Source organism: Homo sapiens, chromosome 14, assembly GCF_000001405.40.
Source record: "Homo sapiens chromosome 14, GRCh38.p14 Primary Assembly".
In the NCBI taxonomy this organism is placed as follows: domain Eukaryota; kingdom Metazoa; phylum Chordata; class Mammalia; order Primates; family Hominidae; genus Homo; species Homo sapiens.
In genome coordinates this window covers 74,813,390-74,837,318 of record NC_000014.9, presented here as the reverse complement: position 1 = coordinate 74,837,318, position 23,929 = coordinate 74,813,390, and the positions used below count along the sequence as shown (strand labels likewise).

General features: G+C 36.7%; 1 protein-coding gene across 6 annotated transcripts in view; it reads right to left on the bottom strand.

The window, feature by feature from the left end:
* The window catches only part of YLPM1 (YLP motif containing 1), a 74,003-nt gene continuing 50,074 nt past the window's right edge, over positions 1 to 23,929 (bottom strand). For 3 of the 6 annotated variants that reach the window (XM_011536966.3, NM_019589.3, NM_001411052.1), the window contains 10 exons: positions 21,054 to 21,116; positions 20,629 to 20,748; positions 20,212 to 20,388; positions 20,042 to 20,125; positions 19,005 to 19,088; positions 16,182 to 16,262; positions 13,012 to 13,063; positions 7,976 to 8,106; positions 1,872 to 2,054; positions 1 to 1,544 (listed from right to left, as the gene is read on the bottom strand). In XM_011536966.3, the coding sequence (XP_011535268.1) occupies positions 1,908 to 2,054; positions 7,976 to 8,106; positions 13,012 to 13,063; positions 16,182 to 16,262; positions 19,005 to 19,088; positions 20,042 to 20,125; positions 20,212 to 20,388; positions 20,629 to 20,748; positions 21,054 to 21,116 (939 nt within the window). In that variant the 3' untranslated portion in view covers positions 1 to 1,544; positions 1,872 to 1,907. Of the gene's footprint in view, positions 1,545 to 1,871; positions 2,055 to 7,975; positions 8,107 to 8,886; positions 9,948 to 13,011; positions 13,064 to 16,181; positions 16,263 to 19,004; positions 19,089 to 20,041; positions 20,126 to 20,211; positions 20,389 to 20,628; positions 20,749 to 21,053; positions 21,117 to 23,929 lie in introns of those variants that run through there. The other 3 variants (XM_005267860.4, XM_047431592.1, XM_047431591.1) reach the window with 2 other exon arrangements.

Genomic DNA, 23,929 nt, shown 5'->3' with positions numbered 1-23,929 from the left:
TTAAATACTACAAACAGCAGAAGTTATTTAATGTAGCAATTTATACATTCAATATTGACTTAATGAACTTAAAGTCACTTGCTTAAAAATTCAGATTTTCAGGGAAGATAAAAGTACAGAAAGTTGTTAGAATTTCCATTAAATTAGGGGTATTCAGTACTATAATATCAATTTGTTGAACCCAAAGTGATACTATTCAAATGCTAGTAACTATTAGCTCTATTCATACAGTCTTTAATGTAGGTCATAAAAGTAAAGGATTTTCATCTGTGGCCTGAAAGAGAATATTTCAAAATATTGAAGTCTTCAGTGAACACATTTACAAATTACTGAGTTGGATTACAAAATGCAAATTATGCTTGAGGAAGAAGGCTCTCTCATCTTCTTTCATGCTAAAAGATGACTTTTTTCTTTGCAGGATGAAAAAGGGAAGAGTCCCTTTTCTGTGTTTACATAGAAATAATATTTGGGTTTTATCTCTGTATGTTTCTGGGTTCCACCTGGTATTAACCACAAGAGAGGAAATTCTGTGCAGAAGGCCATGCTTTCCAGTAATGAACAATCTGGCAAGAACTTGAAAACCTGACAGGCTTAAAGGTTACATGCCAGAGTGCTCTGCATCTTTATACTCTTTCCCTGCAATCTTCATTTAAAAATCCACAATTCAAGTTCAAATGAAGGCAACAAGCTTGAGTTCCACAGAATACATCAGTTCTGTCTACCAGAATTCAAAGCCAGATCAGGAAAAAATAAAAACCTAACAGCATAAAGGCAGAAAGTGAAAAGAAGAAGGAAGGAAAGAAGAGAGGGAAGAACAGAGAGAGGATCAAAAAAAATTTTTAAATAAAGCATCATGTTACAGAATGGATATGCTCCAGGGAACTGATGAATATTTGAACTTGGTCAGTCTTCAAGACACAAAGATAGAGAAATCAGCTATAAAACAAAGATGAGTGTTTTGAACATCATTTGAACCCTGTGTTTTACAACATGTGCTACGGAATCATTGAGCCATATAATATTCAATGAAAAAAAGGTTTTGGGATGTTCAGCTAGCATTTAATTAGGACATACCATATTTAAAAAGCAATTAAAAATAAAATTAAGAAAACAAGAGAAAAGGGCCCATGCTGTATAGCCCATGAATCTCATCGGCTTTATCATGAAAGTTTATTGTTTTTAATCCTAGTACAATCAGCTACCAGTTACATACAGTAAAAAACAGAAACAGCCACAAAGCAATGATGATAGAGATAGTCTGTGACATTGTACAGTGGAGGAAATACTCTCTGTTGGAATCCTCCAGCAGACCCCCGCCTGGCTTCAGCAGTTAAGCTATCACTCCCTCCCTCCCCAAAACAGTTAAAAGAAAAATTAACGTCTTGCTTGGGTACAGCAAGATTCTAATACCTCTTGGGGACACTGGAGAACTTTAAAAAAAACTAAAGCAGTAGAAACAAAACAAGAACTGAAACGTGGAAGCAAGGTGACACACAAAGAAGCTCCGCGAGGCCTTGGCTTCAGACCACCTCAAAGCGAACCACCTGGAAAGAAAAGAAAAGGCTGTCACACCTGGAAAGAACAGGCAAAAAGTTCAGTAGCCCTTAGTATAACATCATTTCAGTCCTTCCCAAATCTATAGAATTCAAGTTTTTCTCAAGGTTTTTATTTTTATAAGTGAGCCAGCTTGCAGAAAATGGCTTCCTTTTCTAATAGTATTGTAAATGTTAACAACTAGTACATACTTACTCTTTCAGAACTATAAAATAACACAAGAAGAGAGCATTTTTAGCAAAATATGCTGTCTTCTTTATCTCAAACCCTTTGAAGCAACCACACAGTAGGCTATTTATATGACTGTGTACTCTTACCTTAGAGGAATAATGACTCCGTTCAAAAACTAAGTCTCATATATATTTGGTTCGATTGAGGGCTTTTTCAGCCAGGTGACCACTTTCATCTGTGATCTTCTCCCAATCAGTCTGTCCGACCACAAAACCTATGGCCCTTTTCCTATCTGCATCCTTCTTCTCTTCCAGGTCTGCCCATCTGACCTAAAAAGAACATAGCATTAGGCTGAGCTTTAGGAAAAATAAATATGCAAAGAGCCCCCTCCCTCTCTGGACAGTCTAAGGGGTAGAATGACTCATTTGAAACCGCAAGTTTAAAAAATTAAAAACTAACCCAGGAAAACTGGGAAAAGCCATATATTTTAAGTCACAAAGAGAAAACTCTCTGGACAATCCAAGTCCTAACCATTCCAGCTCCTGAACAGTTCAGCTCAATCCTGTCCTCTCTTTCTCCTCTGCCATTCCTTTTTATTTAATAATTCACTGACCTCATTTTTTTTTCACCTGAAAGCAAAGCACTAATCTCTACCTAGTCTTCCTGTCTGTACTCACCCGCTCCAGATTCATGCTGCCAGAGTGATCTTCCTAAAACACACAGTTGTGATTCATTTGCTTTAACTCCTTCCCCTACCTACCAGGCAAAGTCCAAGAACTCAGGTCCCTCTTGATCTGGCCCCAACTACACTTTCCTGCAACATCTCTGGCCAGTGCCTATGGCATTTTATACAAACAATACAGACTTCCTTCTAGCACTCAGAGCGCATCGCACCATTTCATGTCTCTATAACTCTGCATATATGTACTAGTCATTCTTCCTGAAATGTCTTTTCCCTAACCTTATCCACTTGGCATGAGTCTAGTCATCCTTCCCTGACTTACCCCTTTTTCCTTTGCCAATCAAATAATCACTGCTTTCCACAGTTAACTTCCGGATTTTGATATGTCTGCTTTTGAACTTCCACACCGTAGTATAATTATCCACTTACAGATCTGTCTTCCCTAACAGACTATCAACACCCTAGATCAATAACTGAATTTTATTTATCTCTACACAAAAATATTTCTTGAAATTTAATCTTAGAGAAAACAGTAAGCTGGTATTATTACTTTCATTCATGAGATAAAGAGACCAAGAAACAGACTCAACTGATATAATTCATGGCAAGATTACAACTACAAATATATGGATCAGGGATATTTCCTATTGGTATTCTGATTTTTAATATATATATATTCTTACATATTATGCTTTTTAAAAATTTTTGTAATTTTTTTTTTTTTTTTTAGAGTCAGAGTCTCACTATGTTGCCCAGGCTGGTCTCAAACTGCTGGACTCAAGCAATCCTCCTGCCTTGGCCGCCCAAAGTGCTAGGATTACAAGCATGAGCCACCATGCCCAGCCACATATTATGTTAATATGTTTTTAAAAGTATATGGAGATATACATATTCTGTAAAAGTTCAGATTCTTAAAAAGAAACTATGAATCTGTTGCTTGCACTACACAGTATCAAAGACTGCAGAGAATGTATTTTAAACATGGCTTGTGATTTATTATCTGTGACAAGGAGAGAGAACCAGAGCATGGAAACACCATGCTCTTTACACTGAACCTGGGAATGCATTATTGCTCTAATGTACACTAATTACCATTTGCATGACTAGCAATGAAATAACTAGGCTTTTAACAGTATCACCTGGTCAAAGGGAGGAGCCAAAGTAATAGCAGTGGGAAGAAACTGGTAACATCTGACTTTCCAGAAAGTAGGTTTTTAGTGTATAGAAAACCTATGGCTCAATGTCTTTCATGGGCTTTAGTAAGAAGCCTAATAAATAATGTGGGCTTCAATATAGAAAAATCTTTGGGCATTCTGCTCATCAATGCTGAAGTACCTATTTTGATTAATTCATATATACAGCCAGGCACAGTGGCTTACACCTATAACTCCAGCACTTTGGGAGGCCGAGGCCGGCAGATCACGTCAGCCTAGGTGTTCAAGACCAGCCTGGGCAACAAGGCGAAACCGTGTCTCTACTAAAAATACAAAAATTAGCTGGGCATGGTGTGTGGTGGGTGCCTGAAATCCTAGCTACTAGGGAGGATGAGGTGGGAGAATTGTTTGAGCCTGGGAGGCAGAAGTGGCAGTGAGCCAAGATCACACCACTGTACTCCAGCCTGGGTGACAGAGAGACCCTACCTCAATAATAATTAATTAATTAAATTTAATTCATGTATATTCTCTCAGCTCCACCTGGATCAAGGATACACATTTTAGCGAAAGATCATTACGAACTAAGTCTTGGGCATTTATGTGAAAACACAATACTGTGCTCAGGATGCCGTGGGAATGGATTTAAATTTGCTGTGGGCTGGTTACTTTTTCTTTGTTCAGTGGCCACAGTTTGCCCCTTATATGGTAAGGCTCATTGAATAAAGAAAAAGTAAACAGCCCACAGCAAATTTAAATCCATTCCCACGGCATCCTCAGCACATAGTTAAATATACTTATCAACCTCAGCACATAGTTAAATATACTGATCAATCTCACCTTGCTACTTTTAAATCTACAGTTTAAATTCTAAGTTTTAAACTCAGATAAAATAAAGAATATAGGATTAGAAGAAAAAATGTGTAGGTGTTTTTGAAATGAGTAGTATGTTTGCGAATAAATGTTCAAGATTTTAACATTGGAATTAGGCCAGGCACAGTGGCTCACGCCTGTAATCCCAGCACTTTGGGAGGCTGCAGCAGACAGATCACCTGAGGTCAGGAGTTTGAGACCAGCCTGGCCAACATGGCGAAACCCCGTCTCTACTAAAAATACAAACAAAATTAGCCGGACGTGGTGGTGGGTGCCTGTAATCCCAGCTACTCAGGAGGCTGAGGCATGAGAATGGCTTGAACCTGGGAGGCAGAGGTTGCAGTGAGCCAAAATCACCACTGCACTCCAGGCTGGGCAACAGAGTGAGACTCTGTCTCAAAAATAAAAAACAAAAAAACAAAAAACAAATGAAGTTGGAATTAAAATATTTTGGAAACTATTGTATTTTGTTAATATCTCTAATTTATACTGATGCTATAGTAAAATTATTTATTTACATGTTGAATTCCTCCACTGGATGTCAGCTCCTTAAGAGGACTCATTCATAGACTTCGTACAAAGACATTCAACATATGGAATGAATAAATGATTACCGAACCACTAAACATACAAGGAGCAGAATAATGACTTTCAGCTTGAAATGGCTTCTTGAATATCAGTGTCCCTTTTAATTTTCCTAGAGGTACTTTTGAGACTTACGACATTTTTGCTGTTGTTTTTTCCTGTAAAAATAAATTTGTTATAATACAGAAAAATCTTAACTAGCCCTCAAAGGTTTGAGGTACTTATATTTCATCCACTGTAACTATAAGTATTTCTAAAATATACAAATTCAGCAAACAAACAAGGGAAAGGTTCACCTTCCATAGTCATCAAAGAAATACAAATTAAAGTCCAAGTAAGCTACCATTTTATACCCAAGCAAGCAAATATTTTAAAAGTAAATTATATTTTAAAGCCTAGCCATTTAGGCAAAATTCTAATATAACCAACTCTACAGAACCACGTTTTTGTTATAGAGGAAGTTAATCCCAAGAACCCATCTGATATCTGTAACAAGCTGAATCACAGAAACAAAGAAACCCAAGAAGGAATGAGTAATGTACAGCATTCTGTATTCTTTGCTACCTGTAGGATCTCCTGTGCTCTAATGTTGGTTTTGGTGAGTGGTTCAAGAGTTAAAAACTATCTGAAGTCAAGGTATAAGGCAGGGGAGGAGACTTAAAGAGGAGCAACTTTAAAGAACTAGAATGTGCACCACTCAGTTCTCTTTGGTCACCCAACCTAATAAAATAAACTGCATGGGATTACATACTCCTCAGTGAAGACAGTGATAGTTACCTGAGTAAAAACAGAGAAAATATTTCTCATTTTAGATTACTAATTGTTACCAGAACTACACTTTATTATTTGCAAGGAAGGGCCACTTCTGCCTCTGTTGGCTCCAGCCTTAAAACTGGAGTAAGAGGTATCACTATAAGCAGTCCTTTGGTGAGGCTGGGTGCAAATGGCAGTGGGCTCTCCCTTACCCATCCTTTGAAGCTACACAGACAAGGGCAGGCTTTGGAGTATCTGCAGTATTTTAAAAAGCTTTGAAACCTGGATTCTTTGTAATGGTGCCCATTACTAAGTACACTAAGCACATTAAGGCACTGAGAAAATTCGTTAAGAAAGAAATACAAAGAAATGATGCATAAAGATAAATGATGCACAACCTCATTCTTAGTAAATAAATGAAAAATGAGATACTATTTTTTTCACCTATCAGATTGTCAAAAGTTAAAGAGTTTGATTACAGCACTGCTGTAGAAAAACAGGCAATTATTTGCATGTAAGCGTGTAAAGAGAGACATACACACCACAACCTTCACATCTGTACTGGCAATAAATGGAAACACTGTAAGCATCCATCAGTAAAGACATTATGGTTTGGATGTTTGTCCCCTTCAAATCTCATGTTGAATTGTAATCCCCGATACTGAAGGTGTTTGGGTCATGGAGGAGGATCCTCGTGAATGTCTTGGTGCCCTCCTGACGGTAATGAGCGAGTTCACACTCTGAGTTCATGTGAGATCTGGTTGTTAAAAGGAGTTGGGACCCCCTCCCCTTGGTTCCTCTCTCGCCACGTCACATGCTGGCTCCCCCCTTGTCTTCCACCATAATTGAAGACTTTCTGAGGCCTCACCAGGAGCTGATGCTAGCACCATGCTTCTTGTACAGCCTGCAGGACAGTGAGCCAAAATAAACCTTTTATCTTCATGAATTACCCAATCTCACGTATTCCTTTATAGCAACGCAAACGGACTAACACAAAGGGACTAGTTAAATAACTGATTGTACAACCAAACAATGGGACACCAAGTAGCCCTTTAAAAAGAATGGTAGTTCTGTATATGCTTATATAGAAAGATCAAGATGGATTAGCTGAAAAAGACTTCTACACAACAGTATATATAATACGATCCCTTTGCTTTATTTTGTTTTAAAGGATATACACATCTATCACTATCGAATTCAACATTTATGTAAAGACCTATCTAATATCCTAGCTTCATTTCTCTATTCCCTTTCACAGCAAAACTTCAAAAAGTTGCCTATATATGCTGTACTGTACTTCATCATTTCTTATTCATTCTTTAATCTGCTCCAAACTGGTTTCTGCTGCCTCATCACTGTAGACTGATGACAAACTACAATCATCAGTGACCTCCATGTTGCCAACATCTAGCAGCCATTTATCTGTTCCAAACTTACTTGTCTTTTCTGCATCATTTAAAAACTGACTATACTCTTTCCTTCTTGAAACACCTCTATCTGAACTAAATTTTGGAGGTCTGGCGTCCTATTACCTTTTCCATTTATACTTTTTCCTTGGGCAAGATCATTCAGTCCCACGGTTTTAAATACCATTTCCTGAAATTTGTTAGTTCAGTCTGATCTCTCTGGTGAGTTTTATACTAATAAATCCAACAGTCATTTTGACATTTTCACTTATATTTCTAACTTAATTAGAAGAAAAATTAGAATTTCTCTCACAGAACTTAAATCATTTCTCTCAGTTCCAAAAATTATGACCTATGACTCCCCCAGTTTTCTCTCTCACTAAATGGTACTACACACATGCAGTGCTCATGGCCAGAGTACCAAGGGGTCACCCTTGATCTACCTTTGGACCCTCCACATCCCATCCATTAAGAAGTTCCACAGGTTCTCTTCAATACCCTACTCTGTACCTGGCTTTTTTTGCCCCATGACAAAATAGCACAAGTGACTGGCCACTCCCAATGCCTTTAAGGTTGACAACGTGCTAGCCATGTGAGGTTCTGTTCTCCAATTTTTTAAGCTACTTGTACATTTTGATGAGATAATTTATAAGGTATGACTCCTTCTTGGGATACATGACATAGCGTAAACTAAATCATTCTAAAAATAGCATCCATGTGATCATCTGCCTGTAACTTCCTAAAACCAGATGCCTAAATGGGCCCTTCATTTGTTGGCAGTTATTGACAAAGTCTCTTACCCTCTTCTTCCCAGGCTCAGAAGCACGAGTATCATAATCATCGGGGAGCTGAAGATAATCCTCCATTCTGCTGGCAATGGCCTCCCAGTCACGTTTCCTTTTAGTACCAGTCCTCAAGCCATCCAACTTGTCTGAGGGACAAACACAGAGCCGTAGCATTAAGGAAGAGTGTGAGTTTGCACACGACACACACACAGGGGAAAAGAAGGCTGGAACGCTTTCAGAGGGCATATCCACATTTTTGAGTGCAGCATCACTTGCAGATCCAAACTATCTTCTTGGCTGAGATAATATCAAGTTCTGTGCAATTTCCATTGTTTGGTATTCACACTGGTAGCCATTATGTTTACGATGTTGGTTTAAGAGCAAATATGGGCAAGGCAAGAAAAGGCACTTGGCTCCTGGCCTCCTTGTCCTCCCACCCACCACAGTTCTCATTTTCTGATGGCAAATGCAAAGTTGGGCTTTTCTAGACAGTGTCTTCCATTCTTTTTTTCTTTAACACAATATTAACACCACCCATTTCATCTGAAATCATGTTTGATACTGTGTCATATGAAAAGCAGGTTGTACCAAGAACTCAATGAGCCAAGCTAATGTTTAAGGTTTTAGATGAACATTTTTTTTTTTTGGATTTTGGTTGCTGTGAGTGCATTCACCATGAATTAATGTTCATGAAAAAGCTGACTATATGAGATCACCACTTTCTTTGCTTATACTATGAAGTTGACCATTCTGAGGCTAAGGGCTAGTCAGACAATTTTACCAGACCTGGTAATTCTTTCTGAACCCTGAATCTGAGAGGGCTAGGCTTTCCAACAACTCAAAAACTGTAATCAATTAATGAATAGGGATTGCGGATTCAGAAATTATGAGATATGAGTTTAGGTGTCTTAAAGAAGAACACGCAATGAAAATGTGTTGAGTCTTTTATTGGTTATTAATAATTGATTTTGAATACTACATGTAGGATATTATGAGTTATATACATTTTTTGCTACAATGAAGCACTAAACTTTTGAATCATCTGAAGTTATAGAAACACACTAGTATTAGGCAGGCCAATGAAGAAAAGCCTAAAAACTTCAGAAACACAGCATAACCACACTTCATTGAATTCCATAAAGAGTGTATATAATAAAAATCTTTCAGACACCACGTTGGAGAGAACTTGGTATGAAAAGTGCAATGAAAGCAGTGGCAGAAAGGGTGAGTTTACGTTTCAAATATAAAAGTTTTACACACAACTGTTACAAGCTTTAAAAACCAGTAAGATTTTGCATTCTTGGCAAAGTTTTTTGTTCCTAAGCCCCCTTCCCATAAAAGTGATTATCATTGAAAAATCAGTAAGGCGAACTGCAACAGTTTATAAAACTCACAAAAATTTTAATCATCTCATTTTGGCAAAATTTTAACATGTATGGATTCCACAGATCCAGTCTTCTAATTTCTGGAATCACATGGCTCTATCTACGTGTATATGACGGGCCGTATTATACATGATCTTAAAGAAGTGACCCCCTGACTGCACAGGGACACAGGTTATGGTATTAGAAAACCAACGAAGTCCCACAAACAATAAAACTGTTCTTGGTTCAACAGGGTACAGTATTACCAGAAGAGACAGAAGCTCCAACACACTTATTAGATAAACCTCAAAGGATTTCCAAACTTAATACGATCAACTTTGACATTAACATACTTCAAAGTAAAAATTTCATATTTCAGTTCCAACAACAGAGCACAGCCAGGCAGCAATACAGAAGGGCAGTGTGAAAACTGCAAGAACTTTTCCTCATACACTGGGTATATATGACAGGAGTTACAGTTGCAACATGGAATTTCAGAAGAGCATGTATTTCTAGTCTGAGCACCCTTTTTGAAATGTTTAATTTGAAATTTTATTGTGCAAATATGTTTAAAGTTTCCTTCTTGGGCTGAAGAAAGGCTCACACCTCTTCCACATGGCATACTGGAAACCAAACACACAGATGGATGGCATAAGGTGAGGGGAAAGAAATCTGGGGTGTTAATTACAGAATAAAGACTGGTGTTCAATACATGCACACTAATGATTTTCAGAGATTTCAAAAGATGAAGTTTTAAGATGAAGATGAAGTTTTAAATCCAATATGGCAGGTCACAGAATTTTACCACATATTTGAAACAGTATGTATTATAGCACAACAGAAAAATTCCTTAGATACATCTATGTATTTTCTAAATGTAAATGGTATTTCTGAAAATCTGTTCAACGTAAACATACAAGATTATGCACCTATACAAATAATAATTATATTCCAACTCTGAAGAGATGAATCTGTCTGACATGTAGAAAACCAATATACAACTCAAGAGTAGAGACAAATGACACTGAGATGAGAAAAGCAAAAGTACTTTATATGAAGAAACCTAAATTAGGATGGTAACAGTCTCAAATATTCTAGCTTCACAGTATGAGAAACTAAAATCATGTCACTGGAGTTTAAGTAGCTTCAATGCTGAATCCCACCACCTGATGTGGCAAGTAACAACCTGCCCTTGCATTATGATGCCTGTGTCCCAGCAGGGAAGAACCAGTCTGGTGGGACTGAAGGTGGGCCACAGGCAGCCTTCAACAACTCCATGCCAGAGGTAGCTCAGGCCTGTTCTGAACTGTTCTAAAAATCACATCACTTCCAATTTAACATTCAGGCACAGGCTGAACTGTGTACTAAACTTAATGAGCATAGACCAAGAATCTGCAATAAGCTCTAACCAGCTGCTTCAAAGACTATAGGTAAGTATGTTCTCACTGGCAGACTCATTTGTGAATCAAAATTCCTCTGTTTCAGATTCAACTGTTTTTGCTCAACATGTGACACTGCTAAAACTTAATACATTTCCACCCAGTATAATCATTTTCCAAGAGTAATTGGAGAATGTTGGTAAAGTACTCAGAAAAATAAATTGTACTTGGTAATCAAATTATATTAAATTTGTTATGATAAGGAAGGCAACATAAATAGGCTACAAGATCCGACACAAGATCCTCATGTTTTAGAGAAGAATCTTCTCAGTTGGCTCAATGGACCAACCTCAAAGTACTAAGCACTTTCAAGAATGCACACTAAATTTGCCTTCCTCTGTGGTGGGATTAGCTCTCAATACAGTGGTGCAAGATACAAGTCCTTATATACAACATCACTATCACTCTTGTTAAAAAATAAAAACCCGACTGTAAATATGTTAAAATTTATTTCCTAGATTTATTACCAGATCTTCAGTGCCTTTCACTGAAATGGTTTGTTTTAAAAATCCATTTCTGGAATTCATTGTCTACTATTCTGTCTTTAAAACTGAAAATTTGTATAAAATGTTTTTTTCTGAGAAGCAAATGGTAGACGGGCCAGAATGTTTTCCAGAAATTCCAAGAAATACCAATATTAATATATATTCTTGAATAATCATCACAACTAAATTCCCTTTTCCTTTTAAAAACAGAAAGAAAAGTAAAAGATGGACTGGCTTGAGTTTAAAACAGCATTACCCCAGATCATGTATTACATGAGGCCTCTAGAGATTACAAGTTAATATTTATCACTTTTACATTCCCCTTAACTATCTTTATTTATGATCTCTCTTTGCCCTAAAGGATAATCAATATTTAAGAGAACCAGAAGAGAGAAATGATCTTGGCATATTATGGGTCATTCTAATGTACAGAACTTCACAGAGAGTTAATCTAACGTCGAAATAAGCAGAACTAAAGCATTATTATTATTTTAAAAGTATTTTGTAATTTTTATTTTCCTACATATTTAATTGCATTTAAACACATAAGTGCTTTAAGGGTCTCTGGAAGATGACAATTGGTTATTATTAAGATTTCCCACAGAGGGAAGACTACTAGAAGAATATGTCAAAAACCACATATAATTTTCACATGACATAAACTAAAAAAAATCTTTTAGACTTGACAACAAAGCACCTATACCAGTAATGTAATAATAAAGTCCGTGGAACTGTCTTTTAACACAGAACCTAGTCAATACCAACTACTAACACAAGTAGTTGGGGCAAATTAAAGGCACAACTTATGTAATTGCATGTAAAATGCACTCCTCTGATGTCAGAAACACATGTCCCAAGCAATGAAGCAGCTCAGTGACTCAAACTTCCTGTATCAATTTAAGATACTTAGATGGTTCCTTTAGTTTTGGAGTATAATACCAGGAAAAGAAACATAAACTGACAGTCATACTTCATACATCAGTAAGGCTGATCTCAAAAAGTCCTTAGCACATTGTTTTAGATTTTTATTAATACATCTTAATCAACATGTTAAATGGTTCTCTTTAAGCGAAGTAAAACTGAAAAAATATTTTGCAGTTTTCACCAACAAATAATAGAGGGAATCCATTGGATATGTATGACTTTTTTGTTTGACAGATAACTTCACATTAAGCAACTCCAAATTCTGATTTAGACAATCATTTAAACTGGTTTACCTTGGAATTTGGCATTAACAATTTGAAGAAAAATTTAAACTGAATCTTATAAAGCAGGCTCCTCAAAAACCTGAATTATATATCTACTCCTCTCTACTCAGAAACTCTCATTTATTATACAAGGAGAATAAATGCCTTTTAATTAATTTTAAACTTTATATTATTTTTATTATCTAAAGTATTCATAATCAGGTTTAACTTTGGACTGCATTTAAATATTCTTTAAAAAAGAAATCTCATCAGCACCAACATTTCTGATTAATATAAAAGAATAGATTTTATAAGTGACAATATTTTGTTGCTAAATTATCAAATATTTCTGTTGACTCTAAAAACTTTAAATAGTATTGAAAGCAGTTCTTTTAAAATACTTATCACTTTGTTACAAGATATAAAAACTAGCAAAATAGATTGGAGGATATAAGGTAGGCCAGAAATCTCTGTTCAAGTAGAAGTTTTAGGAAATTTGTTCCTCTTATAGCAGAAAGATCTATGACCATTACCATCAGGTATCACATATAAAAACAGGAAAAAGGAAATACCCACCTAGCTTTGCCTCAGATGTGTCCATCTCCCATTTGCTTTTCGGAATGTAACCCTAAATCGTACACAGAGAGAAGCTCGAAGGGTTAGAAAGAGACACATACATGCATATCACGTTTGAACTGGAAAAGCATTAAAACTGGGAATGGATTCAGTTTCCACTGACTAGCTGTAAATACATCCTTAGGGGAAACACAATCTCATTATCTTTGAAGAAACTAAATGACCAAATTCACCAAACTTCACTGTCCACATTTCAGAGTAGTCACTTCAGAATAGTATCATGAAGGCGCTTTGAGGCAGCTACAGTTCAGGACTCACAATTGTAGTCTGAACAACAGCTGTATAGCAAATATGATAAGAATGTACAGGTAGTTACTGTGCTAATATTAATATTACTCAGAGTATCAGAGAATTTGTAATACTAGCTAGGTTATCTTCTAAATACAACTGCTATTCTCAAGTGATAGTAGCTATAAGATGCAAAAAGTGTTCTTCAAGATAGTTACTTTATATTTCAGTAATCTTAAGTACTCAAAAGAAAGGAAAAGAATTGGTGGCACTTAACCCAATTACCCGATTAGGAAGTTCAACTTCATTTTAAAATGACTCAATTCATTTACCAGTTAGAGCATACAACGGCTAATTTTACTGAATCAAATTCAGAACATTTTTATCAGTTGAAAACTAGATTATTATTTCTGATGTTTTTTAAAATTATGTTTTCCTCTTACATGAAAAACCAGAAATCTCCACTGGCAACTTACATCTTATATTTCATAAAATAACTGGGTGGCTTATTTCAAAGTCACTCCCAAAAGATTTTCAAATTTCCCAGTGTGCCTATTGAACTATGCAGTAATCATTTCTGTTTATTCACCTAGCAAGTATATGCTTTTACCATGTGATTTATCATTATTCCCCTTTACCTTCATTTAGACTGTTTTCCATTAGACCTAACATACAGAAATGTTAATATTGGAACCTAGTAAATAGGACAGATTCATCAAAGGTGTCAGTATCCTCTTTTATGAATCAATCTATCTCTCTACTGTTGGGAATGTTCAAGTTCATGAAACAAACTGACACACAGGTAAAGTAAGTCACAAAGCATTTTGAAGATTTCATGATGATAGCTTCTGTGTAAGAGTTTACTAGAGCATAATCCTATGGGTTTCATACATTTCTAGTCTACCAGCCAGAACTAATAATTCAATTTCAACTTACTAGGTAGTATTTTGGATTACAAATTATATATTTCCCAAATACATTTTTTAGAACAAACCAAGACAAAGCTATACTGAAGTGATAGTGCTAAAAGTACTGAAGACAAGTTACATCTTAAAAATCATCTGAAAACTTTAAGCATCACTGGAATAATATATTTATAAATTTTATCTACTAGGTTCACTGAAGCACTAAAGGAGGCAAACTATCATACCAATGATCCCCTACAAACGATTATCTTTACCAACAAAACTTTGGATTTCATCCAGCTATATTAATTAGTGCAGAGTGGAAAATGCAAGGTTTACTGAGAATTCCATTTAAATGATCTGAGTGGTTGGTATGAAACTTGCTCTTAACCCTTGGTTAACATATTCTCCAAGAATCTTTTACTCTTGGAATGGACTCCAATAGTAAAAGATTTCAATTCTGCATCTTTGAATGGGTTAAGAGAAGTTTTATAATCAAGTCAGGCAGACAAGTGTATTCATTTCCCCCTGCTGGAATCATCCTGTGCTTCCTTTAAACTATATTACTCTCCCATTGCTTGAAATTGTAGGCCACTTGGAAATAAAACAGATAATCCAGCAGGGTAGAATTTTAAGGCCTCCTTGCCATGACTCTGATGTAAAAATATAGTATTACAGTGTGTTTCACTTTAAAAAGTAATAGTACATTCAATTAAAAGTTCCCAAGTTTTGACCTACACCTAAGCAAGTCAGATGTTATGAACCACTGAAATCTCCACAAAAGAAAGACGGAGCTTCAGAAAGCTAAAACATTATAGACTTCTCACGTAATCAGTTTCTAGTACACACGCTGCAAATGGCTAAAGAAGTCATTAGCCATATTCCAGAAGAGCGTGGACCTTGTAGTGAATATCCTGCCTACATTTTAAATTATATATGCCAAAATACAACTTAAGAAAACTAGATTTAAAAAAAACACATACTGAGACTCAAATGCCATTAACTTTAAAACTTATTTTTTAATCCACATTTGAAATCTTGGAATGTAGAGGTTGACACCATCTTTATATAAACACAGTTTTTATCAAGAGTCCTCTATATCACACACGGGTTCGATGGGACCACTCCCTGGAGATTCTGTATACTCTAGGGGGTAGGAATCAGAGTTCTCATTTTGTACATTTTCAAAAGAATATGAGGAGCAACTTTAGCAAGGGCTCAAGTATTAAATAAACCGAGTAATATTCTGGATTTAAAAAGCAACACTATTCCAAGGCATTGCTAATCTCTGTACTTCAGTAAACACTGAAAAGTCAACGTAACTCTATAGGTCGCATATTCTTGAATGACAGGGAAAGGCAAACATCTCTACAGAGGTGTGATCGAAAGCATTTTACATTAGGTACACAGAAACTTTAAACTCACACTATGTAAGCCTCTAATCAGCCTGAGCAAAATCCATTGCCTACACAGTCATTTAATTTTTCCCCGTCACTTAGGATAAAATGCAGAAGAACAAATCTAGCAGCCAGTGGCAACCCTCTGCCTCCCCATTCAATAAGTTCTTCTGCCTCTGTTGACAGAAACTCAAATTTGGAGATCTTGTAGCAAAGAAGAGACAATTATGCATATGTTGGGTAGGCTGTGCCACATATCTGCTGGAATGTAAGAATGCCCTTTCATATGTAATTGATTTTCTTAAAAGGTATACTCCCCTAAAACCACCCACAAATAGATGAGTACAAGGGTAAGTTTCTTAGCACTCTGTTAAAACTTTCTCTTAACACCACATTAGAGGGTTCTTTTGGTCTGGGGAAAAATAAAGAGTATCCAAAAGTCTCCTTGAAGATGATTATGGAAACTTTTACCACTAAAGTGTATATCAACAGTAGTTGTCTAACCACAGATCTGAATTTAAACCTTCTTTAAGAATTTTAATAAAGAGACACTGTTCAAAGTGGTTGGTCTGTCTCCTACCAGTTCGCTTTCCTCTTCCTCTGCATCTTTCTTTTCTTCTTTCTGTTCTTCGATATTTGCATCAAAATCTTCCATCTCTACCTATACCAACCATTAAAAAAAAAAAAAAAGACTGAGTTAACATTTAGCAAAATATTGACTCCCTCATTGAGATCTGGAATGAATACAGTTGCCCAGAGCAAGACAGGCTCACTGTTACATACCAAGTAATTTTTAACACCCTAAATTTTGAAACAGAACTGATAAAAGACAGGATACTACTGCCTTTAATTTTCCTTGAATATCCATCTGTACAATTCCCTGTAAAGTTAAGTATAAGTGCTAAGTAGATGGTTACCTATTTTGAATGCCTATGGATTACTAGACTTTTAAAAATCTTTAACGAGTATTTTTCCAATCAGGTAAAAACATGTCAATGATTCAAATTTCAAAATATAAGAAAAAGTATAGTGAAAAGTGGGATGATATTGGCTTGGCCCAGAGTGGTAGCAACGCAAATAAGCAGATGAGTTACAGAGGTCATTAAAAGGTACAACTGACTAAACTTTCTTGACTACATGACAGGTCACAAGGGCAGAGTAAAGAGTCAGGCCTGGGCACAGTGGCTCACGCCTATAATCCCAGCACTTTGTGAGGTTGGGGCAGGAGGATCGCTTGAGTCTAGGAGTTCAAGACCAGCCTGGGCAACATAGTGAGACCCCATCTCTAAAAAAAAATAAAAAATTAGCTGGGCACAGGGCATGCGCCTGTAGTCTCAGCTACTCAGGAGGCTGAGGTGAGAGGATCATTTGAACCCAGGAGGTGAGGCAGCAATGAGCTATGATCATGCCACCGCACTCCAGCCAGGGCAATAGAGTCAGACTCTGTCTCAACAATGACAAAAGAGTCAGGGATAACTCCCAGAGCACCGGTTTCAGCAATCAAGTGGTTAGGGTTCTAATTACTAAAACAGAGACTACTAAATGAAAAACAGGTTTGGACGAACAATATTTTGGATAGGTTGAGTTTGAGGTATACTAAGATAATATATATTTTTTGTAGAGAATTTGGAAAATAATAGTAAAAAGAAGATTATAAAAATCACCTATACTCCCTCCATTCAGAAACACTACTATTTAGATAGTAATATAATTCAATCTAGACTTTATAACATTAATGGCACGTAAGTGACAATCTAAGCTACCGGAAAGATTCAGATGATCTATACAGAGGGTACAAAATAAAAACAGAGCCTAGGATGGAGCCCTAAGGGGGCCCTTTTAAAGAGTGAGAAGCAGGAGAAGCCAGTGAAGGAGACTGAAAAGAGATAGCCAAAAAAGTAAAAGGAAAACCAGAAAAATGTGAATTCACAAAAGCCAAGAGAAAAATATGTTTTTTAAGAAGGTGGGCATGGTCAACTATATTACATGTGGCTACAAAATTAATCAATAGAGGAAATGAGAACTGTCCACTGCCACGGAAATCATTAGTGAAAGAGTTGCCAGACAATGGTAGTGGCAGAAGCCAGAAAAAAATGGGTTGAGAAATGGCATGGGAATTAAAAACACATAAAAGAACAATGACGGTTGGGCATGGTGGCTCACGTCTGTAATCCCAGCACTTTCGGAGGCTGAGGTGGGCAGATTACTTGAGGCCAGGAGTTCAAGACCAGCCTGGCCAACATGGTGAAACTCCATCTCTACTAAAAATACAAAAATTAGCCAGGCATGGTGGCGCATGCCTGTAGTTCCAGCTAATAAGGAGGCTGAGGCAGGAGAATCGCCTGAACCCTGGAGGCGGAGGTTGCAGTGAGCCGAGATTACACCACTGCACTACAATCTAGGTGACAGAGTGAGACTCCACCTCAAAAAAAAAAAAAAAAAAAGCACAATGACAATATTGAGTATGGAAGAGGTCAAACAAACAGAAACCTACAACTGGTAAAAAATAGAAAATTTTTCCTTCCATCAAATAAATAATTAATTCAGGCAAGAATTACCAGTGAATGAAAATTTGTTGGGGAAAAGATATTAAGAGTATCTCCCTACAGATTACTTATCACAAAGAGAAAAAGGTAGAAAAATTTGATGGATATCACCTTAACCAAGTAATCAGTGCTTAAATCACCAATAATGAGATAAATTAACACCATATGGCTCCTGATGTGACACACTGAGAGGGCACAGTATCACTTATGTAGCATTCCCGCTAATGTTTAACCTGAACCTAAGCATGTGGAAACAAACAGACAAATTCAAATTGAGGGGCATTCTACAAAACAGGCCTATACTCTTCATAAATTCTTTATCTTTCATGACAATGACAAGGCTGAGAAACTATATTTTATATTAAAGGATTGAATCTTAGATTTTTGAAAATTTCTATATACCACGTTATAGGGACAACTGGTAAAATGTGAATATAAACTATATGTGAGATAATTCAAGAAATTTAATTCAGGAAATTTATATTACTTAATATAGTATTTTATCAATACTAAATTTCCTGCATTTGATAACTGTCATCAAATCAAAAGAGAATGTACTTGTTCTTACAAGATACCTACTGATGTATTTAAGGGTGAAGGTTTATAAGATCTGCAACTTAACTCTCAAATGGTTCCACAAAAACAGTGACATCATTAACAAGAATGTTAATAAGAATACATGCATTCAGAGAAAAATGTGGCAAAATACTAACCGTGATCTCAATGAAAGGCATATCAGTAGGTGTTCTTGTATGAATACTATTCATATAACTTTTCTGTAGGTTTTAAGTTTTTCAAAGTAAAAAGGTGAAAAAGTAACATCACTTTGCATTGCATTTGAACCAAAGGATACTCACCTCTTCAATAGCAGCATCTTGCAGCAAAGAACGAATATCTAGACGCATCATGTGACGAGGTGCAGTTTCCCAGTGATCAGCCATCTATTGAAAAATTCAGATGGTTGAGTTATCTCTAGAAACTACTCAAAGACCAAGTAAGCATCCAAGATAAACAACATTTAACAATATTTTAAAATATTGTTAAATATTAATTAAATATTTGTTAAATATTAATTTAATATTGTAAAGTCTAATGGGCTAATTTCTTTTTTTTTTTGAGACAGAATCTCGGTCTGTCACCCAGGCTGGAGTGTAGTGGCGCCAACATGGCTCACTGCAGCCTTGACATGGTGGGCTCAAGTGATCTTCCCACTTCAGCCTCCCCAGTAGCTGGGACCACAGGCACATGACACCATGCCCAGCTAATTTTTGTATTTTTTTGTAGAGACAGGGTTTCGCCATGTTGCCCAGGTTGGTCTCAAACTCCCAGGCTCAAGCGATCCGCCCACCTCAGCCTCCCAAAGTGCTGGGATTACAGGCCTAAGCCACCATGCCAGGCCATAACAGGCTAATTTCAAGAAGAGCTAGGAAAAGAAACAAAGGAAGAGAAACATTTACTAAAGCAGATAGGAAAGTTATTATGAAAAAAAAAGGAGATAAACAAGAGCTTCCAGACAAGAGTGCTGATACAGATAATATGAGGTTTAGAGTACAGTCACACATCACTTAGCAATGGGCATATATTATGAGGAATGGGTCATTAGGCAATTTTGTCATTGTGTGAACATCATGGAGTATACTTACACAAACCTAGATGATAAAGCCTACTGCACATCTAGGTTACAAACTTGTACAGCATGTTAATGTACTGAATACTGTAGGCAACTGCAACACAATGAAGTATTTGTGTACTTAAACATATCTAAACACAGAAAAGGTACAATAAAAATACATTATAATCTTATGGGACCACCATATATGCAGTCCTTCCTTAACCAAAACATCATTATGCAGCGCATGATAGTACTCTATTATTCTATGTTTCTTAAAATCACCTTATTTATTTCTTTAAGCTTTCTTCCATGAATATTTCTCTTGCCACAAGTCTGGTTATCTGCACTCATTTCAGCCAAATATACCTAAGCAAGAATGAATAATAATTAGGCAAAGATATATAACATTTACATGACAACACAAAGTACTTTAAAGTTCTTTAAGCTTCTACCTCAAATCCCTTGGTTTTTGCTGCACTCCAAAACTGGTCAAAATGCCTAACTCTGTCATTGATGGCATCCAGGATGATGAAGGGAAAAAAGCCATCATCCAGAGTCTTTTTGAAAGTTTTGAACATGCTGGTGCGGTAAGTCTCCTCCATCTCAGCTTCATATTCATATTCCATTACCTAAGGTCCCCCAAAAGAGATATGGAATTAGCAAAAGCAAAGAATCATCCAAAACCTTTTCCTTGGTTAGTATTTGGATAGAGATGACTTTGTAGTCTTTCCTTCACACCCAAGTACTAAAGTACTGTGTTCGGAAAAGAGAGAGGTCCCTGCCCTCAAAAAAGCCACATTTCTCTCCAAACACATTTTCCTTTAAATACTATTAATGAATCAGAACGAGATCTGAGATGAATACCATACCTTCTTTTTCACTTTCTTTCCAGAATCTGGATCTTTTTCTTCTTTTTCCACTTCAGTGATGAAGTAATCATCCAGGCTTAGAACTCTGGGTGCAGGTCCTCCAAATTCTACCTCCTTATCCTAAGAATCATACAGTCAAGAAGGTTAAAACGAATTTATGGAATAAATTAATGTTCACACCAAAGTTCCCTCTTGTGGCTAAATAATATACAATCTTCTGGTGGTTTCAAATCAAGCAGAGGCAAAAATGTTTCTCTGAGTAGATAAAAATATATATGGGACAACATCTACCACATGGGCCAACTGTAATGGATCAAATGGAAGACAATTCTATTGGCATTATGTTGCTTGCTATTAATAAGAAGGCAAGTGACTACTAACACAAGCAGCACAAGCAGCTGATTTTTCAGCTTCCCCATACTCACTCGAATAAGTTTTGCAACATGTGTCTTTCCACTGCCAGGTAATCCTCTCATTATAACAACAATCTGAAACAGAATAGACCAAAAAAAAAAAAAAATCACTGAGAGAAAATTTTCTGCAATGAGATAACAGTTAACAATGACCTACCATTTTCCAGGATAGACTATACAACAGGCCATGAAACAAACCTTCATAAATTTGAAAGGACAGAAATAATATAAAGTATGTCACTGGACCACAGTGGAATGAAATTAGAAATTAATAGTAAGAAAAAATTAGAGAAACTCACAAATACGTGAAAACTAAACAACATACTCCTAAATAACCAATGAATCAAAGAAAAAATGAAGAGGAACCAGAAATCAAGAGGAGCCAGAAACCAGGAGGAACCAGAAAATACTCTGAGATGAATGAAAAAAACACAACACACCAAAGCTTACAGGATACAGCTAAAGCAGTGCTTAAAAGGAAATTGATAGCTATAAATGCCTATAGTAGGAAAGAAATAGGTCTCAAATCAATAACTTAACCATCCACTTTAAGACACTTGAAAAAGAAGAGCAAACTAAAGAAACAGAGGAAAGAAACAATAAAGATTAAAGCAGAAGTTAATAAAATAGAAAACAGAAAAACAAAAGAGAAAAAGTCAATAAAACCAAACGGTGGCAGTGGTTCTTTAAAAAGACCAACTTTTTTTTTTTTTTTTGAGATGGAGTCTTGCTCTGTTGCCCAGGCTGGAGTGCAGTGGTGCAATCTTGGCTCATCGCAACCTCTGCCTCCCAGGTTTGAGCGATTCTCATGCCTCAGCCTCCCAAGCAGCTGGGATTACAGGTGCCTGCCACCACGCCCGCCTAATTTTTGTGTTTTTAGTAGAGATGGGGTTTCACCGTGTTGACCAGGCTGGTCTTGAACTCCTAGCCTCAAGTGATCCGCCCACCTCAGCCTCCCAAAGTGCTGGGATGACAGGCATGAGCCACCACGCCTGACTAAGATCAACAAAATTGATGAACTCTTACCTAGGCTGAATAGAAAAAAAAGAAGATTCAAATTACCAGAATCAGAAATGAAAGCTGGGCTCAGTGGCATGTGCCTATAATCCCAGTTCCTCAGGAGGCTGAGGCAGGAGGGTCACTTGAGCCCAGGAGTGCAACCCCAGCCTGGGCAATAGTGAGACTCTGCCTCGAGTAAAAAAGAAATGAAGGAGGAGACATTACTACCAACCTTATAAAAAAGATTACAAAGGAATACTATGAACAATTGTATGCCAACAAATTAGATAATTTAGGTGAAACAGACAAATTCCTGGAAAGATGTAGACTACTAAAATTTACTCAAGAACAAATAAACAATCTGAATAGACCTATAACAAGTGAAGAATCTAAGACAATAATTTTAAAAAACTACACACAAAGAAAAGCCTAAGCCTGGATGACTTCATTACTGAATTCACCAAACATTTAAATACCGACTCTTCCCAAGGTCTTCAAAAACATAGAATAGGAAGGAATAATTTCTAACTTACTTTATGAGGCCAGCATTACACCAAACCACATACAGACAAGAAAACTACAATATCTCCTATGAATATGGATGCAAAAATCCTCAACAAAATATTAGCAAGCTGAATCCAGCAACATATAAAAATTATTACACACCATGATCAAGTGGGATTTATCCCAGGAATGCAAGTTAACATATGAAATCAATTAATGTAACACATCATATCAACAGACTAAAAACCAAAATCACACGATCATCTCAACTGACACAGAAAAAGCATTCAACAAATCCAACATCCTCTCATGATAAAAACATTCAACAAACTAGGAATAGAAGGGAACTTTCTCAACCTAATGAAGTGCATCTACAAAAAAATTCCACAGCTAATATCATTCTTCTTTTTTTTAAAGACGGAGTCTCGCTCTGTCGCCCAGGCTGGAGTGCAGTGGCGCGATCTTGGCTCACTGCAAGCTCCGCCTCCTGGGTTCATGCCATTCTCCTGCCTTAGCCTCCTGAGTAGCTGGGACTACAGGTGCCTGCCACCACGCCCAGCTAATTTTTTGTATTTTTAGTACAGACGGGGTTTCACCGTGTTAGCCAGGATGGTCTCAATCTCCTGACCTCATGATCCGCCCATCTCAGCCTCCCAAAGTGCTGGGATTACAGGCGTGAGCCACCACACCCAGCAACATCATTCTTAATGGTAAAAGATTGTATTTTTTTCTCTCTAAATCAGATACAAGACAAGAATGTCCACTCTTGCCATGTCTATTCAACACTGCATTGGAGGTTCTAGCCAGGGCAATTAGGCAAGAAATAAAAGGCATTCAATTCAGAAAGAAAGAAGTAAAAGTATATTTGCAGATGACATGATCTTATACATAGAAAACCTTAAGAATCAACTAAAAACCTACTAAAAGTAATAAATGAATTCAGTGGTATTGCAGGATACAAGACGAATAAACAAAAATAAACCATATTTCCATATATTTGCAAGGAACAATCCAAAAATGAAATTAAGCCATCAATAATAACTTTACTACAGGGTACTATGTTCACTTTTTGGGTGACAGGCTCTTTAGAAGCCCAAACTCCAGCATTACACAAAATACCTGTGTAATGAACCTGCACATGTATCCTGAATCCATAATTTAAAAAAAAAATGTGAATGTATTAAACAATCCAATCAAAAGGCAGAGATTTTCAGACTGCATTAAAAAACACGATCCGCTGTGTCCTACGGAGTCAGAAACAGGAATCTGAATTTCTAGAGTGATTAGGGAGTTACCCTTGCAAGGATGGTGAAGAAATGTCAGAAATAAAGGGAACCTGAATGGAAAAAAAAAAAGATCCAACCATAGGCATACTACAGGAGACA